The 26638-nt window shown below is 42.7% G+C and overlaps 1 pseudogene; it reads right to left on the bottom strand.

Moving 5' to 3' along the window:
* Nucleotides 1-24411: 24411 nt before the first annotated feature.
* LOC128136 (3-hydroxy-3-methylglutaryl-Coenzyme A synthase 1 (soluble) pseudogene) lies at nucleotides 24412-26068 on the bottom strand (annotated as a pseudogene).

Below are 26638 nucleotides of genomic sequence, written 5' to 3'. Positions count from 1 at the left end.
TAGGAAGGAATGAAGAGGAGCACAAAATTTTGTATATACTATGTATACGTATACACACTGAATTAACATCTACTTTTAAAAAATAACAATTATAATAATAGCTAGCAGGGTGGAAACATGTAGAGGTAAAACATGGAAATAATTGTGAAAAGGGAAGTAGGATGACAAACGGAGTCAATGAGTGAAGATTCCGGATCGCTTCTCGAAGCTACACTAGAAGTGGGACTTTTGTTTAAGCGACAGTATTAAGTCAAGGATAAATACTGAATCTGTAGGGCAACCACCAATCAAATTAAAATAATTATATATATCTATGTACACATTATGGACATGAATGAATAAATGTTTATTTATACACATAACTAAAAGAGTGAAAAGTGGAATTCTAAAACAAACAAACCAACCCAAAAGAGAGGAAGCAAATCTCAAGTGTCATGTCATTACCAAACAATAATTATATGATTATTAGAGAGAGCTGACATATTATAAAGGGTAACAGAGGAGAAAATGGAATGATTTAAAATTATCTGGAGAACAGGCGCGGTCACGGCGGAACGCTGACATCAGCCTCCTGCGGCCCGGGCGGCTGCACCCCGCGAATCCCCAGCCGGAGCAGCTGCGGGGCGCCGTGCGGGTGGCGGAGCGGCCGCCCCGCGCGTGGAGGAGCGTGGCCAGCGCAGCCGGGATTCGGAGCAGGGCCGCAACCTCGCGGTCCTTGCCCGCGGCGACCGTGACATCCGCGTAGACTCGCCCTTTAACACCCGCGACGCCCCGGGGACCGGCCCGGGTCGGCGGTGGCCGCGGGGCTGTGAGGGCGGCGACGAGGTTCCGCAGGTCGGCGAGTCGCAAGGCCGCCAGGGGGCCGCGTGTCGGTCCGTCCCTCCCGCTTGGGGCCGCCACCAGCCCGTTCCCTGTTCCGCTCCCCGCCCGGCACCCTCCGGAGCCCTGGTCCCGGAGCCAGGGGCCCTTTTCCTTCTCCCGTCCCCGCCCGGTCCCCGACGGGGCGCGCGGGAGGAATTGCCTGAGCAGGACGCCCCCTGCGTAGGTGGGTGGGTGGGAGCGGGGCCCGGGGCCGCCAGTCCTGGGGGGCGATCGCGGGTGTCGCGGGGAGGGTGTGGCCGGGCTCGGCGCGGGCCGGGAGGGAGGTGGTCGTTGGGCGTCTGACACCGCCCGCCCCCCCACCGCCCGGGTTTAAATGTCTTGCTCCCTCGGAGCCTCCCCAGTCCCTGCGCGCCCGCGGGACCCCCACTCTGGAGCCACCTCCTTCCCAGAAGACGCCGCCAAATTAGAGGGCGCGAGCCCGGGAAGGAGCCACTCGCCCCTCCCCTTTCTGTGGGCGGCTCCAGATGCCCCTCTGAAGGCCCAGGTGGTGACCGGAGCCACCTGAGTGTCCTCAGCAAGGGGGTTCAGGCCTTCATGCAGGGGGAGAACTGCGGTGAGCAGTTCTGGATTTCTGCTCTCGGCCCCGCACCACCCAGCAGCATTTTGTTCTCGTTTTCAGATATATTTGTGTGTCTCTTGATTTTCTGTTACTCTCCGTAAAGGGGAAACCAAGTTGCCACAAATTGTAAAGACTGAAATCATACTATGTTCTCTGCTAAAAGTGGACTCCTACTAGAAATCAGTAACAGAAAGAGAAATAGAAAATTCATAATGTTTGGAAATGAAGCACCATACTTCTACATGATCCATGTGTTAAAGAAGACATCACAGTAAAATGTAGATAATAATTCTAACTGAATGGTAATGAAAATACAGTATAGTAATACTAGTGGGATGTTGCTTACAAGGAACATTATTGCTTCAAATGCCTATGCTGGAAGAAGTGATGAAAATCACTTAACAAAGCTTCTGTGGCAAGAAACTAGAAAGGAATAGCAAATTAAACAGAAGAAAGTAGAAGCAGCTAGATAACAAAGAACAGAAATCAATTATAAGAAAGCAAATGTACTATATGAAAAATTAACAAAGGTAAAAGTTGGTACTTGGAAAAACTAGTAAGATGATTTTTTGTAAACAAACAAAAACCTGGCACATAAAAAAAGATTAAATATGGGTAGGGATGATAATGATCAGGGAAGTCCAGGAGCATGAAACTGCCCAGAGAATCAGCATAGACAACGGTACGTGGTTAAGCAGCTCAACAGTGACTTGTCCTGCATTTTATTGATTCTCTTGGCTTTTCCCTCATGCAGACGATGGCTGTCACATCTCCAGACTTTACTTCTACTGACACTATTTGTAGTGACACCCCGGTGTCAGCAACTTGTTCCTGCCACCCTGGATGCTTCCAAAAGCCAGACTCCTGTGCATCAGCCTTTGGCAGCAAAGTGCAGAGCGTCCTTGCTTAAGTAGCTTGCTTCTGATTTGAAATCTTCTGAGCATGGATCTGATTGGTGGAACTTACACTCCAGCTGCAATTCCTGTGTTCTTGAGTTCTCTTTCACTTAAGTTACTCTGTTAGCAGCTCATCACCTCTTGCCAATTAGTAACTCATCTTGTTAAATTGTTCCTATTCAAATTATGGGTGTGTTTCTGATTCCTGGCTAGATCCTGACTGACACACTTTCTCAGCAAGATTAGCACGTGTCTGATTTTGAACTGGACAGTCAGTCTTGGATTTGACATTCTGTCTGGTATAAGCTAGGCAGAACTATAAATGCTATTTTTAATTTATGTAAAATTTTTATTAAAATAGTCATATGCTCAGAAGTTATGCAACTGAATGTAAAATGTGTATATTTATGTATCATATACACATATTTATGTATCATACTTTTTATAATTTTGTCTATGCATTTTTATCAAATGTATTATTTTGAACTCATTCTGTAATCCTATTTCTACCTATGTTTCCAAATTTTACAAATGGGCACATTTTCTCTTTTATGGCACTCTAATCCCTTTTTCCAGCCAAGAGCATTAGTGTATTGGTTTAAGCTTCAAGATTTCAAGTTATATCGCCTCAAGTAAATCCTTCCTCTGCAGCTGTTTGAAATTTGTCAAGTAATAGCACTTTCCAGAACAAAACCAGACACAAAAGAAAACACATTCTATATGCCATTTATTTGAAGTCCAATAACAGGCAGAAGTCATTAGATGTTCTGGGGATTAAGGGAGTGATGGTTTTTATGTCAACTTGATTAGGCTCTAGTCTCAGCTGATTATTCGAACACTGTGCTGCCATGAAGGTATTCCGTAGATGTGATTAACATCTACAGTTCACTTCAGATAAATGAGATTATCCTCTATAATCTGGCTGGGCCATTCCAATCAGTTGAAAGGCTTTAAAAAGAATTGAAGTTTCCCTGACGAAGAAGAAATCTCCTCTCTGGATTGTGGGTCAGCTCCTACCCAGACTTCCAGCCTGACCTCCTGTGGCCTGCCCTGTGGATTTCAGACTTGCCCAGGAACCCTCACAACTGCTTGCTGTATATGTATCTTACTAGTTCTGTGTCGGAGGAAGAGCTTGACTGATACAGGTGGGAAAGTGAAGAGGCACAAGGGAAATTTCTTGAGTGACAGAAATGTTCTATAACTTCTTCCAGCAGAGGCTACCAAGATTATATAACAGGCTGGGTGCTGTTGCAGGCTCATGTCTGTAATCCCAGCACTTTGGGACGCCAAGGCAGGAGGATCGCTTGAACCCATTAATTGGAGACCAGCCTAGGCAACATGGTGAAACCCTGTTCTACAAAAAATACAAAAATTAGCCAGGCATGGTGGCAGGCGCCTGTAGTCCCACCTACTTGGGAGGCGGGATGATCACTTGAGCCTGGTAGTTTGAGGCTGCAGTGAACTGTGAACCATGACTGCACCACTGCAATCCAGCTGGGACAACAAAGCAAGACCCTATCTCAAAAAAAAAAAAAAAAAAAAAGGGAAAGATTGTAAAACAATTTCAGGATTTAGTTTCATCATCTGTATTAGAACAAAAAACCTCCCTACCACTAATCATACATAAACATTAATTTGATATGAACCATAGACCTAAATATGAAAGTTACATTATAAAGTTTTTAGGAGGAGAATTTAGAGAATATCCTGTCTGCAATATAGAAAACTAGACACATGATTTAAATAGACCTTCCACAAAGGGAAGTATGCAGATGGCCATTCCACAGGGACACAGTACTCATTATAATGAATCACGAGAGAAACAAATGGAGACCACAATAAAGTGCCAACACACAATACTGAACAGGGCTAAAATTAAAAATACAAACACGACCAAGTGTCAGTGAGGATGCAAAGCAAGACCACTCATGTTGCTAGTGAGAGGGTAAAATGGCATAATCACTTTGGCAGTTTCTTATAAAAGTAAACATGTTCCTGACCTATAATTCAGCAATTCCAGCTCTCAGCATTTACCCAGGAGAAACAAAACACATGTCTGCAAAGAGACCTTTATCAGAATGTTCACCACCATTTTATTCACAGCTGCTCCAAATTGGTAACAGCACACACATCCATCAACACGAACATGTAGTATATTTGTCCAGTAGAATACTCCTCAGCAATGAAAGACAAACCATGGATAAAGCGACAGAATTAATGAATTTGAAAAGCATCGTGTTCTGCAGAAGAAGACACTAAAGAGCACATAAGGTGTGATTTCCCTTCCACCACTGGATTGTCTTTGTCTTTGTCAGGAAATAGTTCATGGATAAGTGTGGATCTACTTCAGGATTCTATTCTGTTACTTTGATCTATATGTCTGTTGTTATGTCAATACCACGCTGTCTCGATTGCTATAGTTTTCTAGTAAGTCCTGAAAGTAATGTGATCCTCTAAGCATGTCCATCTAAAGATTATTTTGACTGTTCTGTTTCTTTCGTTGATACATTTTTAATTACTGTAAGTTTTGTCAGGTTTTATTTAGATTCTAAAATTAATCACTGAAGTTGTAATTGATATTTATAATAAGTAATTTATATATCTTTAGTTTCTAGCATGGTAGTAGGCATAAATTAAATGTTGATTTCCCTATCTTTTTTTTTCTACTCTTCCCTTCCCCAAAATCTTAGACTTGCACAGGAAACAAACAGCCTTTCCTTTCATGGGTTACATTGAGTTATAATTTAACTTTGAGAAAAGAAGGGAACTAAAATGAGCAGTAGAGAGAATTTCACTATAAATTTTCAGTTTCCCAGTAGTCATTTTAAAAATCTTATGACTATAGGATTCCATAATTCATATAAGCAATTTCTTATTTGGCCAACTTTGTAACCAAATTTACAGCAGATGCTCACGTCCCTTTGCCTTCTCAAACATGCTAGCTAACTCCAAATGCCATGGGGGAATTAAAGTCCTAGACCTGGCTGAGCACCGAGGCCACCTGGAGATTGTTTTACCATCTGTCAGGCTTCACTTCAGACCTCTGTATCTGTGGTTTTTTGTTTTTTGTTTTTGAGATGGAGTTTTGCTCTTGTAGCACAGGCTGGAGTGCAGTGGCACAATCTTGGCTAGCTGCAACCTCCGCCTCCCGGAATCAAGCGATTCTCCTGCCTCAGCCTCCCGAGCAGCTGGGATTACAGGCACCACCACCCCAGGCTAATTTTTTGTATTTTTAGTAGAGACAGGGTTTCGCCATGTTGGGCAGGCTGGTCTCAAACTCCTGACCTCAGGTGATCTGCCCCCCACAGCCTCCCAAAGTGCTGGGATTACAGGCGTGAGCCACCATGCCTGGCCCTGTATCTCTATTTTTTAAGGACCTTAGTAATCTAGGTACATTCAGACTTTGAGGAACCAGAGCCTGGAATTGCCTGGCCTTAAACACTCAGCTCATGGGACATTGAGGAGAAGCTGGCAGTGCCCAGTAGAGCACACTAACAAGTCCCATAAAGGAAAGAAAGGCTTTGAAGATCCTTACTCCTGAATGGTGTCCCACCTGCCCTTAAGTTAGCTTTGAAAATAGGGATGCAATGTGCCGAATCGACCTCACCCCACAGTAGCTTTCTGAAGCTGGCATAAATATCAGAAAAAGGGCTGCTTTCCTGCCCTGCCACTTCCCCTGGCTCCCCAGCAGCTCCTCTGTCACTCTTTCCATCTGCAGACGCCCCAGGAGGCAATCAGCACAACAGCCTTGCCCCGTCCTTCAATCCTCCTTGGATTTGCTCCTGTTATTCCTTCTCCCTGAAATCCCCACCTCCCCACTCCATCACCGCCTGTCAGATCATTTCCTTGAATACCCAATTTAAATGGTATTTCCTCACTAAGCCATTGTGACTGTCTAGGTCTGGATTTTCCAGCCGTGTTCGGACTCCATGCATTCGGTTCCACTGTCACACTTTGAGGAAAGCCCATGTGCGCTGAAGTTTTGGTTTTCACACTGTTTGCTGCTCTCAGCGTCTTCACCTGGAGTTCATAATTCCCTCCTCCATGCACTCTGGCACTTTGGCTATGTCTCTGTGTTGGTGATAATTCCGGGCCTCTGTTCCAGCATCTGGGTGGCCCTCTGGCTCTGAAGCTGTCTTGAAGACAGGTATTGATTTTTATTCCCTGCATGTTCTCCTGGCATTCACCCCAGAGAAGAGGAGTGTGATATTATTCCACAAATAACTTCAGCCTCCAAAACTGCTAGTGCCCTCACTGTTTCACTTTACATTCAGCCATGTGGAGAAATCTAAGTAGGAATTGTTTTTATAGTGGTACACTCTAATGTTAGTATTTGCTGTGGGTTGAATTGCATCCCCACTACTCATTTGTTGAAGTCCTAACCCCCAGTACTTCAGAAAGTGACCTTATTTGGAGATAGGGTTGATGCAGATGCAGATGTAAAGATTAGGTTAGGATGTGATCATAATGGGGTAGAGAGAGCAGGGTGGGCTCTTAATCCAATATAAGCTGTGTCTTTACAAAAGAAGAAATTTGGACACAGAGACACAAAAAGGGAGAACTCCGTGTGGACGGGAAGGCAGAGATTCAAAGGATGCAGCTACAAGCCCAGGAATGCCAAAGATTGCCAGGAAACCCCCAGATGCTGGGAGAGAGGCATGGAGTGGCATCTCCCTCACAGCCCCCAGAAGGAACCAACACTGCAGACAGCTTGATCTCAGCCTTCTGTCCTCCCGACTGGGAGACAATAAATTTCTGGTTTTCAAGCCATCCAGTTTGTGGTACTTTGTTCTGGAAGCCCCAACAAACTAACAATGGACTCGATCAATGGACACCCTTGCACCTTCACTATCTACAGCTATAGACCTTTAGTATTGTAATCTGGAATCTCTAAGAATAATTCATGTGTTCTTTAGCTTGTCCTTCTTAGGGAGATAAGTAAATTCACAACTTAGTTCTTTCTTTTTTCTTCTTTCTTTCATTTTTTAAAACCAGTAAGGTTAATCAACTATAGATTGTTCTCCTTTTATGTCTTACCAAAGTTTTTGTGCCTGATAAACATTTACTTATCCTTCAAGACCAAGTATTTGAATTAAAATTCAGTGTGGCTACACATATCAGAGGCTTTAAAATAAGAATGATTTACACACAGAAAAGTTTGTCTCTCTCTCATATATAAGTCTGAATGTAAGTAATCCATGAAATCCTTGTAACCCGGGTTCTTTCTACCCTACTGATCTGTCATCACTAGGGCACTCATTCTCATGATTCAGTATGGCAACCATTGCTCCAGCCATCACATCTGCATTTCAAAGAGCATAATGTAGAGAATAACCAAGAAGAAAAGGGCACATTATATGAAGCATCTATCTTTTTTTCTTTTTTCTTTTTTTGAGATGGAGTCTCGCTCTGTTGCCCAGGCTGGAGTGCAGTGGTGCGATCTCGGCTCACTGCAACCTCCACCTCCCAGGTTCAAACGATTCTCCTGCCTCAGGCTCCTGAGTAGCTGGGACTACAGCCATGTGCCACCACGCCCAGCTAATTTTTTTGTATTCTTAGTAGTGACAGGGTTTCTTGTGCCACACGCCCAGCTAATTTTTTTGTATTCTTAGTAGAGACGGGGTTTCACCAAGTTGGCCAGGATAGTCTCGATCTCTTGACCTCATGATTGGCCAATCTTGGCCTCCCATAGTGCTGGGATTACAGGCTTGAGCCACGGCGCCTGGCCGAAGCATCTACCTTTTAAGGAAGGATCCCAGTCGCTACCACATGATGCTTCTGCTTATATCCTAGAATTAGCCACTTGGCTAGAATGTTATCACACGATCATACCCATGACACACAATGAAGGCTGGGAAATGTCATGCCATGTTTGTTCTGAGCCATCATCCTCCCAAATAAAATCAGACATTTTACTAATGTGGAAGAAGACAGTGGTGAGTGGGAGAAAACAACTTATCTCAGCCACATCTAGTTAAGATTTAATCTTGGGAAATAATTTATTTTATAAATTATTGATATTAGTGATATTCTGTATTAAGCAGCCCAACATCTGTATTAGTTACTTGAATGCTAGTTACTAAAACCAGGAGATCCACAAATTTCAGTGTCCTAATGTAATAGATACTTACTGCTGATTCACATGATAATCCAAGTGTAAATTTTTTCTTGACAGGCAGTTTTCTTCCTCAGTGTAATTCAGAGACAAAAGTTTCTTCCATTTCAGCCAACAGACAGGGGAAGAGTACATGGAACAGGCCACATTTCAAAGTCACAACCTAGAAGCAAACATATCACTTCCACTCACATCTCATTCGCTAGAACTCATCAGTCATCGGGCCACACCCAATGCAAGATGTCCAGGAAGAAGAGGAAAATAATTTATCTAAACAAGGAGCTATGCCTGCCACAATATTTATCTCTCCTGGAGGAAATGGTAGCATCCATGGGTCACCTGCTCATATAGCAATGTTGCTTGGGCCTTAACCCAGAAAGCAGCACCTTCACCTCTCTATGAGAACTGGAAGTATGCTGAAATCAAAAATAGTAGTGGGAAATTGGATGCTTGAAGAAAAATGTGAAAATTTATCTAAAAATGAACCACTTGCAATCATAAAAATAAATTATCCTGCTAGGATGGGAGAGGGACAGGATATTGACATTCTTTGATGTTTTCTTTGAGTATGAAAACTTCACTAGCCATTGATGTAATGAGTTGTTTTTATTTTTTCCTTTTAAGGGATTTGTCCATTTTATTTAAACTTCAAAATTTATTGACATAAAATTATAGAGAAGAGCAGTAGAGACTGGGGTAACTAGGATTTATGTTCAGAAGTGGGTGTACACCTTCTGCCAGGCCAGTAGTGTAGGGAGTTGAGACCATCTAGTCAGTAGTTGGGCTGTATTCAAATTCCTCCAGGGTGGGCTAGTTACTGTGACCTCCTGCTTAGTGTGGAGCCTGTGGTGCTGGCAGGTTTTCCTGTGTCACTTCTTCATTCTCAGCAGCTGGTTTCATGGGCAGGGGTCTCGTGCCATGCTCAGGGCCCTCCCGCAGCAGCGGTGTAACTGATGGATTATTTCTGTTGAGATATCCTACAAAGAGTCACAGCTCCTGTTGCCTTCTCCATCTGATTACATTTGTGGAAATCTACTGCTCATCTCCATAACCCATCTGGCTTTTAAGGTATCCAAAGAAGCAAGGAAAATGAGCAACAGTGGGAATTGCTAACCTGCCTGTCTCGAGGGTTTGATGACACTGCTCACCTCTCCTGTCTCCTCCATGGTTGACGTGTTGCCTTTGGTTTACTCTCAGGGATGGGGTAGTTCCAGGAACCTTTACTTGGGCCTTTCTTCCCTAGTAAGAAAAATTCCTGGGTTCAGGAAACCAGTGTGCAGATTCCGCCAGTGGCTAAAAATTCCTATCCCACTAGTTGATAAATACATCCTTTCTGGAACTGAGGAGTAACCACAGGCAGAGGCCATGGTCCCACTGAACAATCTTAACCTTGGGCCAAGGCAGCTTCTATCCCCAGACTTCCAAAGCCCTTGCTGGGCCACACAGCTTTTCTGATGTTGGGGATTCAAAATCTGCTCCAAACATGTAGACGAAATTCTCCAGAAAATGCATGTAGGTATCTCCCTTCTTCCAAAGTGTGGTCACAGCAGTAATTGCCTTTGATTTTGGGGACATTTGGGGAAGCTGAGGGAAAAGATACATGATACATACCTGAGACGACATTGCTGCCTTGAAGGGCTCCAATCTCTCCCTCAGTCTAGGAGCTCAGAGTCAGGTCATTACTGGCTTATGTCTCATAACTATGCTAGAGACAATGGATCCCGCTGCCCATCAATTTCATTTCTAAGGACCCCTGATCAATTACCCCTCACCATGTATCCCTGTGGGTCATTCTCTAATTCCCATCCTGCCCACAAGGCATACTGGTGACTGCATGCACCTTGTCTCTGATGCCTGAGCCATCTGACCCTGTCACTCTTCACTGTCCCCTACCGTCATTGGCAGCAATAGAGGATGGCCAAGCACAGATCTCTTTGAGGATGCTGGTGCCTCCTCTGCCTTTGCCAATGCACTTTTTAAACTCTTTGATGAAGTGAGTGAGCTCTGCTTTCTCCCAGCAGGCAAGATTAGGGATGGCTGAGCAGACTGCACATCATAGCTCCATCCCACCATGCCTGTCCTTATGCATTCTGACTCCTTCCTCCCTCCCTCAGCAGTATGGCAAGGACATTCGAGCATTCTGACCTCATTATCTGGAAGCCATCATAGGGCCCAGAGTACCAACACCACTAGCAGGTGGTCTATCCAATACTTTAAACCCAAATCCATAGTGGGCTCTCTCATGTCAATGAATTCAGTCCAATCAAGACCTTTATTTTGCTCCTTGGTCCACCGCCTTGGACCCACTCCCACTCCTGCTGCCCAGGCTTTTGCCAGCATGGACCTGCAAGGTCCCATAAGCTTTCAGCGTATAGTCATCTCCTCCAGGGCAGTCCTGGCAACGCTCTCTCCTGGCTAATGACCTATCTTTAGATCTCCCTTTTATTATGGGTTCCTAACTGTACAGTGAAGCAAGGTCAAGCAATTTTTTCACTGTACAGACCACCTCCTCCCCAGTCAAAAGGTGAATGTGAAGGACCAAATAGAAGTTATCTGTACATCAAGCTAACAATGGATTTTTACAAATAAATGAGAAAAATCTTTTGGGGGCAATGTATACGTGTATATTACCCTAATCGCAGTGATGGTTTTATGGATATATACATGTGCCCAGATTTGTGAAATTGTAATCTTTATTTGGCTGATGTGCATTGTAATATATCAATTATACTTCAAAAAGCTGTAAGGAAATTTACAGACTAACTTACCCAGGAAACTGAGCACAGTGTCCTTATCAATATGAAATATTAAGTAAACAATTTGTATTCCATAAAATATTACAAAGTCATAATGAGGAATTCTGGTAGGCTAAAAGAATTACATATAAAAGTGTATTAAGATTCTTGTAATACAGAAGGGATAATTTAATTTTTTTCTTGACATTCTTAAACTCCAAAATACTATCAGAGTGAAAAAAATTAAAGTCAAATGTAAAAATATCAAGAAAGGCAGAAGGTGCTTGAAATCAACAATGAGAAGACATAGTAAGTGAAAGGCCACCAGAGGGCAGTGCAGGACTGCTTAGGACAACGACATTGTTTTCCCCATTTTTTTTTTTATTAAAATTTTATTTGACAACGATTAGCAACTCAAATTGTAATTAAAATATCATTTGCTACATATTTAGGCAAACACCCAGAAACCCACTTTATATTCTATTAGTATACTAATTAATTGTGACACTATTCTTAAAAAAGAACAGAAAATAATGAACTCATTGCAAATATAATACTAATAATTTTAACTCCTTAGTTCTCACATTGTATCATTTCAATACTTCTATAAGCTAGCATTCAGAACAAGTTTTATTGTTTTAGAGAATTTTTAAAGAAATATTTACTTGCTGTTATTATTTGATATAATTTGGAAAATAATGTAAATTCCCTATAAGAAACAAATATAATTATCCCCTAACTGGAAGATGTATCTCCTTACACATGCAGACATATAAGATTAGTAATAAATGAATGAATGAGTGAAGTTGTATATTAATCAAACAAGCTATAAAAACCTTAAATGATGAAACAACTAAATGTAAGAGCTAAAACTAAAGGTCTTAGAAAAAAAATATAGGGGCAAATGTTTATGACCTTGGATTTGGATTAGTTTCTTAACATGTCATACAAAACACTAGCAGTAAAAGAAAAAAAACAGATAAATTGGGCATCATCAAAATTAAAAACTTTTGTATATCAAAGGACACTGTCAAGAGAGTGAAAAGACCACTCACAGAATTGCAGGAAATATTGGCAAGTGATGAATTTGATAAGAATCTTGTACCCAGAAAATATAAAGAACTCTTCCAGTTTAAGTACAGAAACCTTAACAATTGAACCAAAAATGGGCAATGGACTTGAACAGACATTTCTCCAAAGAAGATATACAAATGGTAAGCAAGCACATGAAAGGTGATCTACATTAGATGTTAGGGAGATGAAAAGGAAACCAACAATGAGATACCACTCCACACCCACTGGGATGGCTATAATTAAACAGTAAGAACAAAACATAAAATAGCAACTGTTGATATCCGTGGCCATCCCCACACCTGACGCTCACTGAAATATAAATGCAGGAGACAGAGTGAGACTTGAATACTACCAAAATTGCTTTTTAGCAGTGCTCCATAAGGGAGTTCCAAAACAAAGGAGTCTAAATAAAATGCAGGAGATGAAACCAAAACCTAAAGAGAAAACTTCAGAATTTCTGGAAAGGATTTTTAAAATGTATAGGCAATACACTGATGTAGATCCAGAGGCCCCTGAGAACTTAAAAATGGTAAATATAAGCTATATTAGCCAAAGCACTCTGGATATTCAGAAGAAACTACAGAAAACAGAGGAGACCCTGGGGATGCTGATGTTTCAACTGGTTGACATTGTCCTTAAGATTTTCAGTGGCAGAATCAAGTCCAGAAAGTGAAACAATAAGCTGCCTTGCTGGCGGTGGCACTGACCCAGGAACTGACCCATGGTCCACAAGTAGGAAGACCTTGATTAAACATAGGCAGCCTCCCATCCCAGAATCCAAACCATATAAGACACCCCGCAATGGGACCCCACTAATATGCCTACTGTAAACAAGAGGGAGGGCCATGGGAAAATAGAATGCCTCAACCAAAATAAGACTCTTGAAGAAGATAGGCATCAGGCAGTGCACCAAATGCCTGAGATCACCAACAGGGATGAGGAATGACGAAGCCTGGGCACTTGACTTTACTGATCCTGTTAAGATTTTCCACATCCGGCCAGGCGTGGTGGCTCATGCCTGTAATCCCAGCACTTTGAGAGACTGAGGCTGGCAAATCACCTGAGGTCAGGAGTTCAAGACCAGCCTGCCCAACATGGTGAAACCCCATCTCTACAAAAATACAAAAATTAGCCAGGCATGGTGGTGAGCACCTGTAATTGCTACTTGGGAGGCTAAGGCAGGAGAATCACTTAAACCCAGGAGGCAGAGGTTGCAGTGAGCCGAGATCGTGCCATTGCGCTCCAGTCTGGGCGACAGAGTGACACTCTGTCTCAAAAAAAAAAAAAAAAAAAAATGATTTTCCACTTGCAACCCCAGGTGACCAAGATGACAGGAAATCATCTTTTGGATTTTCTGGTTGATACTGGGGCTACCTATTCAGTTCATAATATTAGATTTTTCTAGTTAACTGAAAACAATGCTAATAACTAAGATCCCTGGAGAAACCTTGAAAAAGCCATTTCTCTAAACTTTAGATCACCAAATGGGCAAATCACACCTAAAACATGGTTTTTAAAATATTTGCTTGAGTGCCCTGTGTCACTGCTAGGATGGGACTTACTAACCAAGCTGAATGCTAGTGACTTTTGCGCCTGGATGGAGGTACATTAAAGTGCCACCAGACAAGCATGAGCCCTCCAGGTGGTGCTACTTCAAGTCAAGGAACCCCCAGTAGAGGTCCCTGAAGACATCTTATAAGACTGGATATATGGGTGGGTCGGATGGTGGGATGGGCACACAGAACAACATCTATGCATGTTAAACTTCTTTCTGGGTCAAGAGTTACAAACTTGAGACAGTATCTACTGAAGGAAAGTTCCAGATTTTCTTCCTTCCTTCCTTCCTTCCTCCCTCCCTCCCTTCCTTCTTTCCTCTCTTTCTTCCTTTTTGCCTTTCTTTCTCTCTCTTTCTCTCTTTATCTCTCTCTCTCTTTCTCTCTCTCTCCTTCTTTCTTTCATTCTTTCTCTCTCTCTCTCTCTCTCTTTCTTTCTTTCTTTCTTTCTTTCTTCTTCTTTCTTTCAATATGGGGTCTCACTATTTTTCCTCAGCCGTTGAAGAAACATAGTGGCTGGTCTGAAACTCCTGGCCTCAAGAGATCCTCCTGCCTCAGCCTCCCAAAGTGCTAAAATTATAGGTGTGAGCCACCCCACCCAGCCTCGCTTTTCTTAACTGCCTTTTTGAATGGGAACTCATCCGCCCATGCTGGTCTCCATATAATACCCCAATTTTGTTAGCACAAAGGCAGGCACACAAGACTATTGACTTACACGGGACTTAACAGCCATTAATTAGATTGTAGAAGATATCCTCCTGCTGATGCTTAACACTTATGCTTTACTTACTATTCTCTCTAGAGACTTTAGCTGGTTTACTGTTGTGGACCTTAAGGATGCATTTTTTTTTGCACATCTCTAAGCTCCAACTCTCAGGGCATTTTGCTTTTGCATGGGAAGATTTTGAGACTAGGGTCAAACAACATGGTTGGACTGTACTCTCTCAAAGTTTTAAGAATTCTTCTACCACTTCTGATGAAATCTTACCCAGAGATATAAGGATCTCCAATTAAAAGAAGGGTCACATCCTAGTTGCCAGCAAGGGTAAGGAAGACTCAGGACAGAATACAATTTGGAATGTAAATTTTCTAGCTGAAGAGGGCTACTAAAGTCTGCAAGAAAAAGGCCCAGATTTCCCCAGAATTCTGTTAAATACTTAAAATTTGAACTGTCACAAAGGTAGAGGAGTTTATACCTTGATCCAAAAGAGGCACTGGTGAGAGTAGCAGTACCTCCTACCAGGAAACAATTGCATGGATTCCTAGGTATGACAGCGTTTTGCCATATCTGTATCCCCAATTTTGAACTGATAGCCAAGCCCCTTCAGGAAGATTTTTAAAGGAAGAGACAATGAGCCTCTCAGTTTGACTCACGAATGCCATAAGCCCTTCCAAGTTATTGAATAAAAATGACAGACTCATTGTTCGTGCTCTAGGTCTTTCAGACATTAGAATGCCTTTTGACCTGTTTGTCAATTAAAGACAAGAGATTAATTTTGAGACATTAACTCCAAATCCAGGTAATATGAGAAGATCCAATGCCTGTTTATCAAAGCAACTGGACATAAGGGCTGAGGGATGACCCATATGCCTGATGGTGATAGCAGCCACCTAGGATTTACTGCAAGAAGCAGAAAAGGTCATCTTGGATCAACCCACTGCTGTACATGCTCCCCACTGTGTACTTCCTCTATTAGAACATAAAGGAGGATATTGACTTACTTTTGGGAGGCTAGGAAAGGACCAAGCCTTACTAGACACTCAATCAGGACATGCGCTAATAATAAAAGGGGTACAACCCAGAGGCTCTGGACTCACAGAAGACAGGTAAATTGAATGTACTTTGCTGAGAGCCACCAGGAATTTCAGGGATTTTGTTGGTATTTATGGACATTTTCACTGGATGGATGGAAGTCTTTCCCCATTAGTTGGAAAAGTCTTCTGAGATTGTAACTGCTCTATTAAAAGAAATAGAGCAGTTGGGCTACCCATGTCTACACAAAGAGACAGTAGAAGAGCCTTTATAACAAAAATAACTCAAGAAGTCTGTGGTGCGTAGACATTCACTGGAAATTATATGCTTCTTGGCAACCACAATCTACTGGCAAGACAGAAAAGATGAATCATACTTTTAAAAAGACTGCAGCTAAAATTCGTCAGGAGACTAATTTACCTTGGGATGAGGTCTCACCCATTGCTCTGCTTCAGATGAGAGTGGCCCCTTGAAGCAAGCTCTAATTGAGCCCCTCTGAACTGTTATATAGAAGACCTGTCCTATGCTCAAAGGATGGACTGGGGGACCTGGAGGGAAGCTGAACTAAAGAATTAGATGCTGTCAGGTGTGTTCAATCATTGGAAGTCTCTCTCACTGCTATACATGAGTTCACTTCTAGCAGGTTAATGTTGCCCACAGATGTTCCTCTGTACCACCTCTGTCCTGGAGACTGGGTTTTATTAAAGTCCTAGAAGAATGAACATCTGGAAGATCAGCTTTGTCCTTGTTGGACCAGGCCTTATGAGGCGCTAATAGTGACCTGTTCTTCAGTCAAATTGAAAGGAGTCAAGCTGTGAATCCATCATACCCAAGTTAAGCTGATCCTAGAATAGTCATTGGACTCATGGCACCTTGTATGCAGAAACACCTCCAGGAATGGAAACCACATGGTAGAACACCGTAGCCAAGATCATCCAAACCTCAGTTGGCAGTAGGCAGTACACACCAGATACTGACTCCTCTAAATGGACCAATAAACCTGGTCCGACTTCACACTGGTGTTTAAGAGACCACCCACCTAAACATAAGCAATGAACTGCTTTCAGGTTCTTGCTTTACTTCTTGGCTTACTTGCTTGCCTTCTAATTCTCCACCTACTCATGACTTACTGTGTATTGCCTGATTGCTTTCTCTGCAAACAGTGCTAACAGATCTTTCCTTAAGTCACCAAACATGATTGCTTTCTTTCTTTTTTTTTTTTGTTGTTGTTGTTGCACCTTCTCATTGATCATAATCTCCAGGGCCCTCTCTGGCTGTTTCAGGCCCCTAGGGTGGAGTCTTCTCTGTGTCCACTCCCACCTCAGCCAGTGCTTGCCCCTGTTGGTAGCATGAGGCTGCTGCCCCTCATGGAAGGAGATGGAGTAGAGGGCCTGTTGACCAGCTCCCTGTAGATCTCCTGCCTCGAGTTCAGTAAAGGCAGTGCCTGCCTGGTAGCCAGTAGAAAGCACTGGAGCTTTGCCTGGCCATTGTTGGACTGGTTCTGCTCCCTGACTGCACACATAACCTTGTGTCACAGATGTCCACCTTGGGAGGAGAGGAGATGGAAGTCTGAGGGCCCAGGATTGACATGGGGGCAGATAGGAGCCTCTCCAGCACTCCCTGCCATCCCTCATATGAGGAAGAACATGAAAAGGACCACCAGGGTTACAATCACCACCAACATGCTCTTGCCAGAGCGGGCCTTCCCCTCAGGTTCCCTTTCCCCCACACTCAGGCAGAGGGTTTGGGTCTGTCCAAGTGGGCTCACAGGCATGGCCTGGATTGGACTGGCTTGCTTTGGTCCACCCTGGGCTACCTTTGACCTCCTGACAAGTGGCCAGAGGAGCTCTTAGAAAATCTTCTTTTATAGCCTAAATGGGTGGGCAGAGGTGGAAGATTGTGGAGACTTTTGAGCAAAAGGCATGTTCCTAAACAGGGACAGAATTGAACCTCTGTAAATGAAAGAAGTAGAATGCTTTCACCTCACCATATTGTCCCCAGGGATACTTTGACCTCCATAGTGAATATTACTGGAGGTCAAAATAAAACTGGTAGTCGTGAAAGTTGCACATGGTAAAAATTACCATTGACAAAAAATTGGTGGGAGATAAATACTTTTAAAAATATTTGATATGCATTATTTGACCAAAAGTGCTTAACAAGATAGAAATAATAACACCTTGGGACAACTTAAAAGGCAGAATCTATAGTCAGCAAATCATGATGTGTAAGAGAAGTCAAGTTATTTATATAAAACATAATTGATCTTCATACAGACATTTTCAGTAAATTCCAAATAAACTGAATCAAAAAATTGTAATGAACAAATTATAACTGGTTTACTGTGCTGTATTAGTCCATTTTCACACTGCTGATAAAGACATACACAAGACTGGGCAATTTACAAAAGAAAGAGGTTTAATGGACTCATAGTTGCACATGGCTGGGGAGGCCTCACAATCATGGTGGAAGGCAAAGAAGAGCAAGTTACATCTTACATGGATGGAGGCAGGCAAAGAAAGAGCTTGTGCAATAAAACTTCTTTTTATGAAACCATCAGGTCTCATGAGACTTATTCACTTTCACAAGAACCGCACGAGAAAGACCTGCCCCCATGATTCAATTACCTCCCACCGGGTTCCTCCCACAACACATGGGAATTCAAGATGAGATTTTGGTGGGGACACAGCCAAACCATATCGTTCCATCCCCGGCCCCTCGCAAATATCATGTCCTCACATTTCAAAACCAATCGTGACTTCCCAATAGTCCCCAAAGTCTTAACTCATTTCAGCATTAATTCAAAAGTCCACAGTCCAAAGTCTCATCTGAGACAAGACAAGTCCTTTCTGCCTATGGGTCTGTAAAATCAAAAGCAAGTTAGTTACTTCCTAGATACAATGGGTGTATAGGTATTGGGTAAATACAGCCATTCCAAATCGGAGAAATTGGCCAAAACAAAGGGGCTACAGGCCCCCTGCAAGTCTGAAATCCAGTGGGGCAGTCAAATCTTAAAGTTCCAAAAAAATGATCTCCTTTGACTCCATGTCTCACATCCAGGTTATGCTGATGCAAGAGGTGGTTCCCATGGTCTTGAGCAGCTCTGCCCCTGTGGCTTTGCAGGGTACAGCCTCCCTCCCAGCTGCTTTCATGGGCTGGCATTGAGTGTCTATGGCTTTTCCAGGTGCATGGTGCAAGCTATCAGTGGATCTACTATTCTGGGGCTGGAGGACAGTGGCCTTCTTTTCACAGCTCCACTAGGCAGTGCCCCAGTAGGGACTCTGTGTGGGGGCTCCAAACCCATATTTCCCTTCTGCACTGCCCTAGCAGAGGTTCTCTATGAGGACCCTGCCCCTGTGGCAAACTTCTTCCTAGAGATCCAGGCATTTCCATATATCCTCTGAAATCTAGGCGGAGGTTCCCAAACCTCAATTCTTCCTTCTGTGCGCTGGAAGCTCAACATCACGTGGAAGCTGCCAAGACTTGGCACTTGCACCTTCTAGAGCCACAGCCCGATTTATACCTTGGACCCTTTTAGCTATGGCTAGAGCAGCTGGATGCAGAGCACCAAGTCCCTAGGCTGCACACAACAGGGGGACCCTGGGGCCTGCCTACAAAACCATTTTATCCTCCCAAGCCTCTGGGCCTGTGATGGAAGGGTCTGCTGCCAAGGTCTGTGACATGCCCTGGAGACGTTTACCCCATTGTCTTGGTGATTAACATTCAACTCCTCATTACTTATGCAAATTCCTGCAGCCTGCTTGAATTTCTCCTCAGAAAATGAGCTTTTCTTTTCTATCATATTGTGAGGCTGCAAATTTTCCAAAATTTTATGCTCTATTTTCCTTTTAAAACTGAATGCCTTAAACAGCACCCAAGTCACCTCTTGAATGCTTTGCTGCTTAGAAATTTCTTCTGCCAGATACCCTAAACCATCTCTCTCAAGTTCAAAGTTCCACAAATCTCTAGGGTGGGGGAAAAATGCTGCCAGTCTCTTTGCTAAAACATAACAAGAGTAACCTTTGCTCCAGTTCCCAACAAGTTCCTCATCTCCATCTGAGACCACCTCAGCCTAGATTTCATTGTCCATATCATTATCAGCATTTTGGGCAAAGCCATTTAATAAGGCTCTAGGGAGTTCCAAACTTTCCCACATTTTCCTGCCTTCTTCTGAGCCCTCCAAACTGTTCCAACCTCTGTCCGTTACCCAGTTCCAAAGTCACTTCCACATTTTTGGGTATCTTTTCAGCAGTGCACCACTCTACTGATACTGATTACGGTATTAGTCTGTTTTCACGATGCTGGTAAAGACATACATGAGAATGGGCAATTTACAAAAGAAAGAGGTTTGATGGACTTACAGTTCCACATGGCTGGGGAGGCCTCACAATCATGGTGCAATGCAAGGAAGAGCAAGTCACATCTTTCGTGGATGGCGGTAGGCAAAGAGAGAGCTTGTGCAAGGGAACTCCACCTTATAATACCATCAGATCTCATGAGACTTATTCACTGTCACAAGAACAGCATGGGAAAGACCTGCCCCCATGATCCAATTACCTCCTACCAGGTCCCTCCCATAACACATGGGAATTTAAGATGAGATTTGGGTGGGGACACAGGAAACCATATCATGTGCTATATTTAAAAAGTATTAAATAATTAAAAGTACTATTGAAGTTTACTCTCAAAGTTGCTCCTCAACTTTTAAAATATTGGTATAATTCTGACGTCAACGTTTATGAAGCAGAGATTTAAAATATTATGAGGGACGGAAGTTCTATGAGGTAAAGTGGCTGGGTCAGAATAGCAGGGTCAATGGAAGGGCAGCATTGGCAAGGTCTGACTGACTTCTGTCATTTTAAATGTGACACAGAGATGACTATGTAAGTTATCCTGTGATCGAATTTGTAAGCAGCTGTATTAATGAGGTTACATTGAATAAACAATTTCAGTGGCATAACACTGTATTTTGCACCCCCCTGGCATGGCTAGATGGGTGCCCAGGTTGGAGAGGCAGCTTTCCTCCCTGTGGTCATCCAGGAACCCAGAGTGTTTCCTTCTTGTGCCTTCACCATTCCTGTGAATGGTGATCATGCAAATTGGGTCATTCTTGTCATACCCAGCTAAAACAGAGTCCAGAGACCAGGGGGAAAAAGCACTCGGGGAATATAACATTGTTTTGAGAATGTAATTCTCGGCAAGCCCAGCTGCTGAAACTGCCTGCTGTAACCTGAAACCAGTTTTCTATTAGTTTCTACAATGACCTGCCAGGAAGCTAAGACTAGTTTTACCCACCATCACCACTCACCAATTAGAGGATGCCAATTCCCTAAAATTTTACTTATGCCAATGACCTTATTTTCAAAACAAAACATAACATAGCTCTTTTTATAAAACCTCCAACCTTCTCTTTGTTCTTGGACATTCTGAAGAGCACTTGGACTATGTGTATTCCCTGAACTGCAATTTGTGCTTTCCCAAATAAAACATTTAAATTTACCCATTCACCAATATATTTTATTTTGACTTTGATATCTGGGGCCTCATCCCTACTTGCATGCATCAGCAGAAGAAGAAAGAGCACGAAGAAATGTCCACAGGAGGATTTTATGGGCCTGGACTGGCAGTGGCTCACATCGATCCCACTCCTCTTCCATTGGCAAGAACTGGCCATGTGACCACGCATAACACAAGAGAGCCTGGGAAATGTAGTCCAACTGTGTGTGCGGAGAAGGGGAGAATGGATTTTGATGGACGACTAGAGTTCTCTGCAACAGTAAACAACGTGTTTGGATTTATTGTGTTTCTCCAATTTTTATGGAGTGTCTGCTGTATTCTGAGCACTGTGCTAAGAGCTGGACAGAGAGCTAATTTAGCAGCACCTTGCGCTAGAAGAAGCTCTCAGTATATAAAGGGAGATAAGACATGGTATGGAGTGCCTGCTATCCTAAGAGACAGAAGGATAAAGTGAAAGTCCTAGAAGTCCCATGAATTATTCTAGAAGGGGAAGCTGCCTGCAGAAGATGGTGATTGAGGTCCACTTTTAGAAATAAAGCAGATTTGGTTGGTGGAGGGAGACAGCAGCAGAAGCTATGGAAGCATGTAATTTGTGTACAAGATGTATTAAGGAACACTATGCAGCAATTAAATCAGATTTTCAAAAACAATTGAATAGCATGGATTAGGGCTCATATCAAGTGAGAAAAGTAACTGGGGATGTAAGTTGATCCCATGTTTGGAAAAACTGTGTGTCTAAGATTAGATGAAAGTATACAGACATGTTGGGTAATAGTTCTTAAATTTTATAAAATATACTGTTTAAGTAATCAGAAGGATTCCATCAATGGGCTTTGGTTTGATATACTATTTTCTGTAAGCCAGATATACATAGTTGTGATGTTGGCCAGTCATTCTCAACATTTCCTAACACTGCTGCCCCTTTTCCCCGACCCCCTACCCTGCTATGAGACGGTGACCTGGTCTCTATTTTCTGCCCTGGAATCTATGTGCTCAATAAATACTCCCTGAAATACCACACTTGGAAAGAGACCTCCTTTTTACAATGTGAAATGAAGAAACAATGACTTCCTCTCGAAGTTATCTTCCAAACATTGATTCTTACAAAATTGGGATATGATCTAACTGCAAGCCCATAGCAATGTCTAAATTTGAATGTTGTCTTTTGCTGACGCCAAATGCAGAGCCCTGCAGCATTTGTCATGCAGGGCTCTCATGTGACCACCAGAGGGCAGTGCATGACTGCTATGACATTGTTTACTTCAAAATGTTTGCAAGTGAGCCTTCTTGAGAAAATAAATGTTTTATAAACTTCGAGAATTTGTTTTTTTCTTTAAAATAAGGAATTATTTCTTTAACAGCAAATAAAGTTTAGAAAATTTAGTTCTGTACCTTAGTTCAAACTATCTGTATTTTACAGTCTATAAGGCTCATTGTCAGCACCACAAAGCTGTGTAACCAATCTTCTTACCCATCCTGTGTGACAGGTTTTGTTTGTTCTTTTTTAAAGGTAAAAGTCTAAGAAAATGCTTCATAAATCCTACTTTCAGACCTTGAAGTGGAATACTTCTAGTTACACTATGTAAAAACTTGGGTTGTACCTTGTTATTTTCATTGAACAGATAGCAAAAGAAAAAAAAAGGAGAAAGTAAAAATGAAAAGAACTGTTCTACATCCTGAATTTAGGCTGTCAGTCTATATATTGAATTTATAACACTGAAGCATCAGAAGCAACCTAATAATGTCCTGCTCCGTCCTTCCTTTCCATTTATAATTTTTAAAAAGGCAACCAAAAAAATGTTTCATTCATTCTTCAAAATAAGTTGCAAAGAAGGATCGCAACAGTGAATGTCCTCATTCACACTTCCAATAACATCTCAATGTTGCTCACCATAATCTGCCATGAACCGATTCAGGAGCCACCCAGAGCTTTATTCACGGCTTCCGAATGTACCATGTTTCCTATACCAGAAGCCTGCCCAATGTCAGCGTCTCTCTGTTCAGAGGCCATAACAACTTTTGTCACGGCTGGCCTGGATTTAAAGCAACATTCCAGATTCCAGAACTAGTTTTATTGTCTCAGCTGTTTTCTTCCTCTTCAGGATTTATCAATTTTAGAAAAAAGGGTGTATATTTGTCTTGCCTCTTTCTTTCTTTCTTTCTTTCTTTCTTTCTTTCTTTCTTTCTTTCTTTCTTTCTTTCTTTCTTTCTCTTGCCTCTTTCTTTCTTTGTCTCACCTCTTTCTCTTTCTTTCTTTCTTTCTTTCCTTCCTTCCTTCCTTCCCTCCCTCCCGTTCTTCCTTCCCTCTCTCTTTCTTTCCCTCTTTTCCTTCCTTCCTTCTTTCTTTCTTTCCTTTCTTTCTTCTTTCTTTCTCCTTTCTTTCTTTCTTTCTTTCTTTTCTTTCTCTTGCCTCTTTCTTTCTTTGTCTTGCCTCTTTCTCTTTCTTTCTTTCTTTCCTTCCTTCCTTCCCTCCCTCCCTCCCTTCCTTCCCTCTCTCGTTCTTTCCCTCTTTTCCTTCCTTCCTTTCTTTCTTTCCTCTTACTTTCTTTCTTTCTTTCCTTCCTTCCTTCCTTCCTTCCCTCCCTCCCTCCCTCCCTTCCTTCCTTCCCTCTCTCTTTCTTTCCCTCTTTCCCTCTTTTCCTTCCTTCCTTCTTTCTTTCTTTCTTTCTTTCTTTCTTTCTTTCTTTCTTTCCTTCCTTCCTTCCTTCCTTCCTTCCTTCCTTCCTTCCTTCCTTCCTTCCTTTCTTTCTATCTTTCTTTCTTTCTTTCTTTCTTTCTTTCTTTCTTTCTTTCTTTCCTCTTTCCTCTTTCTTTCTTCCTTCCTTCCTTCCGTCCTTCCTTCCTTCCTTCCTTCCTTCCTTCTTTCTTTGCTCACTACAACCTCTGCCTCCTGGGCTCAAGAGGTCTTCCCACCTCAGCCTCCCGAGTAGCTGGGACCACAAGCACATGCCACCCATCGGCTAATTTTTGTATTTTTAGTAGAGACAGGGTTTCGCCATGTTGCCCAGGCTGGTCTCAAGTTCCTGGGCCCAGGCAATCCGCCCGCCTCGGCCTCTCAAAGTGCTGTGATTACAGGCATGAGCCAGAGCACCTGGCCTTGTCTTGCCGTTGTCAAAGAATCTGTGCATATCACATTTTAAGACCACATTTCCCAAGCTAGAACTTTCAGTAAGCTTGTTGTTCAAAGTACAAAATTCTTATCTGTTTTAAAAAAATTTAATTGAAGATTAGTACCTCTGCTTTCCTCTGACAGAAGGACAGGATTCATTATACCATGGTTGAAAACTAAACTTCATGTATACGAATGGCTAGAGAGGTCTGAAGTTTTATAGAGCCCTTAACATCACTCAAGCGCACTTGGCATTGGCCAGACCACAGTGGGAAACATGTCAGCAAATTGAGGAAAAGAGACTTTCCCAAGTACACGATGGTCATCCAGGCTCCATGTCACTCACATAAAAATCTGAGCAACATGTAATCCCATCCCCACCCTCACACCAAAGCCTTGCACCTCACAGAATATCTTAATGTTCCCCATTACTAATGACAGCTGCTCCCGTTTCTGCTGCTGTGGCAGGGAGTCTTGGCACTGTCTTAGCAGGGCTTGGAATATGATCAGTTACTGTGTTTGAATGCACAAGTCTGACTCCTTCATCCCAAGTGTCATTATTTGGAGAAGGACACGGAGTGTAACTTCTTCTGTGCTTTTCACCCACCATAGCTAAGTACCATGTTTCTTCAAAGAGTGAATCTCTTGGGCCCCGGGGAACAGAGTTGACCAAGTGATGGGTGTCCTCTCTGAGCTTCATGTTTTCAACAAAGACATCTGGTACCACACAAGTTCTTGAGCTACACCTTGATTTAAGATCCCATAAGCTTGCTGTTATTTTATCAACAGCAGACCATGGTGTGGCATCTGGTGGAACTTTAAGAGAGTACAGGGTGGCGGCTGAACCAGAACCGTACGAGAACACTCCAGTCTCTTCCCTGATCATTGCTGAGGTGAGTACTGCGCTGGGACAGTTGCGGGGAACCATATACTGACGATGTGTACGTATTTCCATTTTCACTGGATACAGCAAAGATGCCTTTGTTTTCTGATGGGAGAGTTCGGAACTATCCTTCATAAATGCCATCTCCACATCTGTATCAAAATAGATGTCTTCTAATTTAACATTCCCAAAGGCTTCCAGGACATTCTAAACACTATTTTTATCTCTGTTCTGATCATTAAGGAAGTCATTCCGCAACATCCGAGCTAGAGATAAACTCACCAGTTTACAATATGGTGAGTGAAGGATCAAGAAGCCAAAATTATTCAAGGTAAAATCTTTATCATTTCCGTCTTTCTGCCACTGGGCACGGATCGTTTTGCAGTCGACAGAATAGCAGTGATCTAATGCACTGAAGCAGCACTGTGTGGAGGGTTTTCCATCTACTATAGGACATTCAGAGAGCATATCAGGCTCATAAAAGCCATAGGCACGTTGCATATGTGTCCCACGAAGCCCTCGTTCAAAAATTAAAGTTGCATTTGGCTCAATTAGCAGAGCTACTGCTCTGACTCTACCTGTCAGTCTAACTTTTCCTGTGGGATATACAGCAATATCTCCTACAAACTCCAGGGCAAACTGTCCATCCCAGGAGCTGGACTCAATCCAGTTAACAGCACTGAAGACAGCAGCTGGGGCTCCATAGCATGCATGAGTTGTGTCGGTTCCTTCTATATCTATATCCCCAGACTCCTCAAACAGCTGCATCAAATTAGTCTTCACTGACTTTGATTTGTCCTTGATTGTCTCTGTTCCAACTTCCAGTCGGCCAGTGCAATCGTAGGAAAGATTTTTTCTCTCCATAAGATTCTGAACCACAGGCATGCAAAGAGAGTTGATCTCTTCTCCATGTGTGCAGGAGCCCATCTTGGCCTGGCCCAAGCCAATGGTATACTTTCCAGCATCTATATCAACATACTTTTCCAACTTTGAAAATATTTCCTTGGCATGCCTCAGGTCTGATATCCATTCACCGTGTCCAATCCCAGGCTAGTCTTGGACCTCCTGACTTCGTGTTCGGTTTGGTGCCGGAACTGGATCTGGTGGCTCTGTTGCCACCTCTGCTGCCCTCCCAGCACCGCTCAGTTGCACGCCCTGCAAGCCCAGGCCATGGGCCCAATCCTAGAGAATTTGTAAAGAAATATTTATTTGCTTTTATTTTTCAATTTAAATGGGAAGCCAGTGAAAATTCCACACAAGAAACAAATATAAGACAATCCAGTTACTGGGAGATACACCTTGTGATGCGTGCAAACTTGTAAAATTATTTGTCCATCCTCAGGATTTGCATCCAGATTCATCTCTCCTTCCTCCATCTATAAACATCTGTCTATATAAAATATCTTTTGACGATTAGATGTAATGCACTAAAGATATCTGGTAATCATGTTACTTCTTTGTGATAGGAATCTTTTGGTAGCAAGTGATCTGCTTATGGGATGGTGAGAATATAATGGAAACAAGGGAGGACAGAATACAGGCGATCAGCAGGAGGTCTCAGC

This window comes from Homo sapiens, chromosome 1, assembly GCF_000001405.40.
Source record: "Homo sapiens chromosome 1, GRCh38.p14 Primary Assembly".
Lineage (NCBI taxonomy): Eukaryota > Metazoa > Chordata > Mammalia > Primates > Hominidae > Homo > Homo sapiens.
The sequence above is the reverse complement of the archived record's forward strand: the minus strand, read 5'-3'. Positions and strand labels throughout refer to the sequence as shown.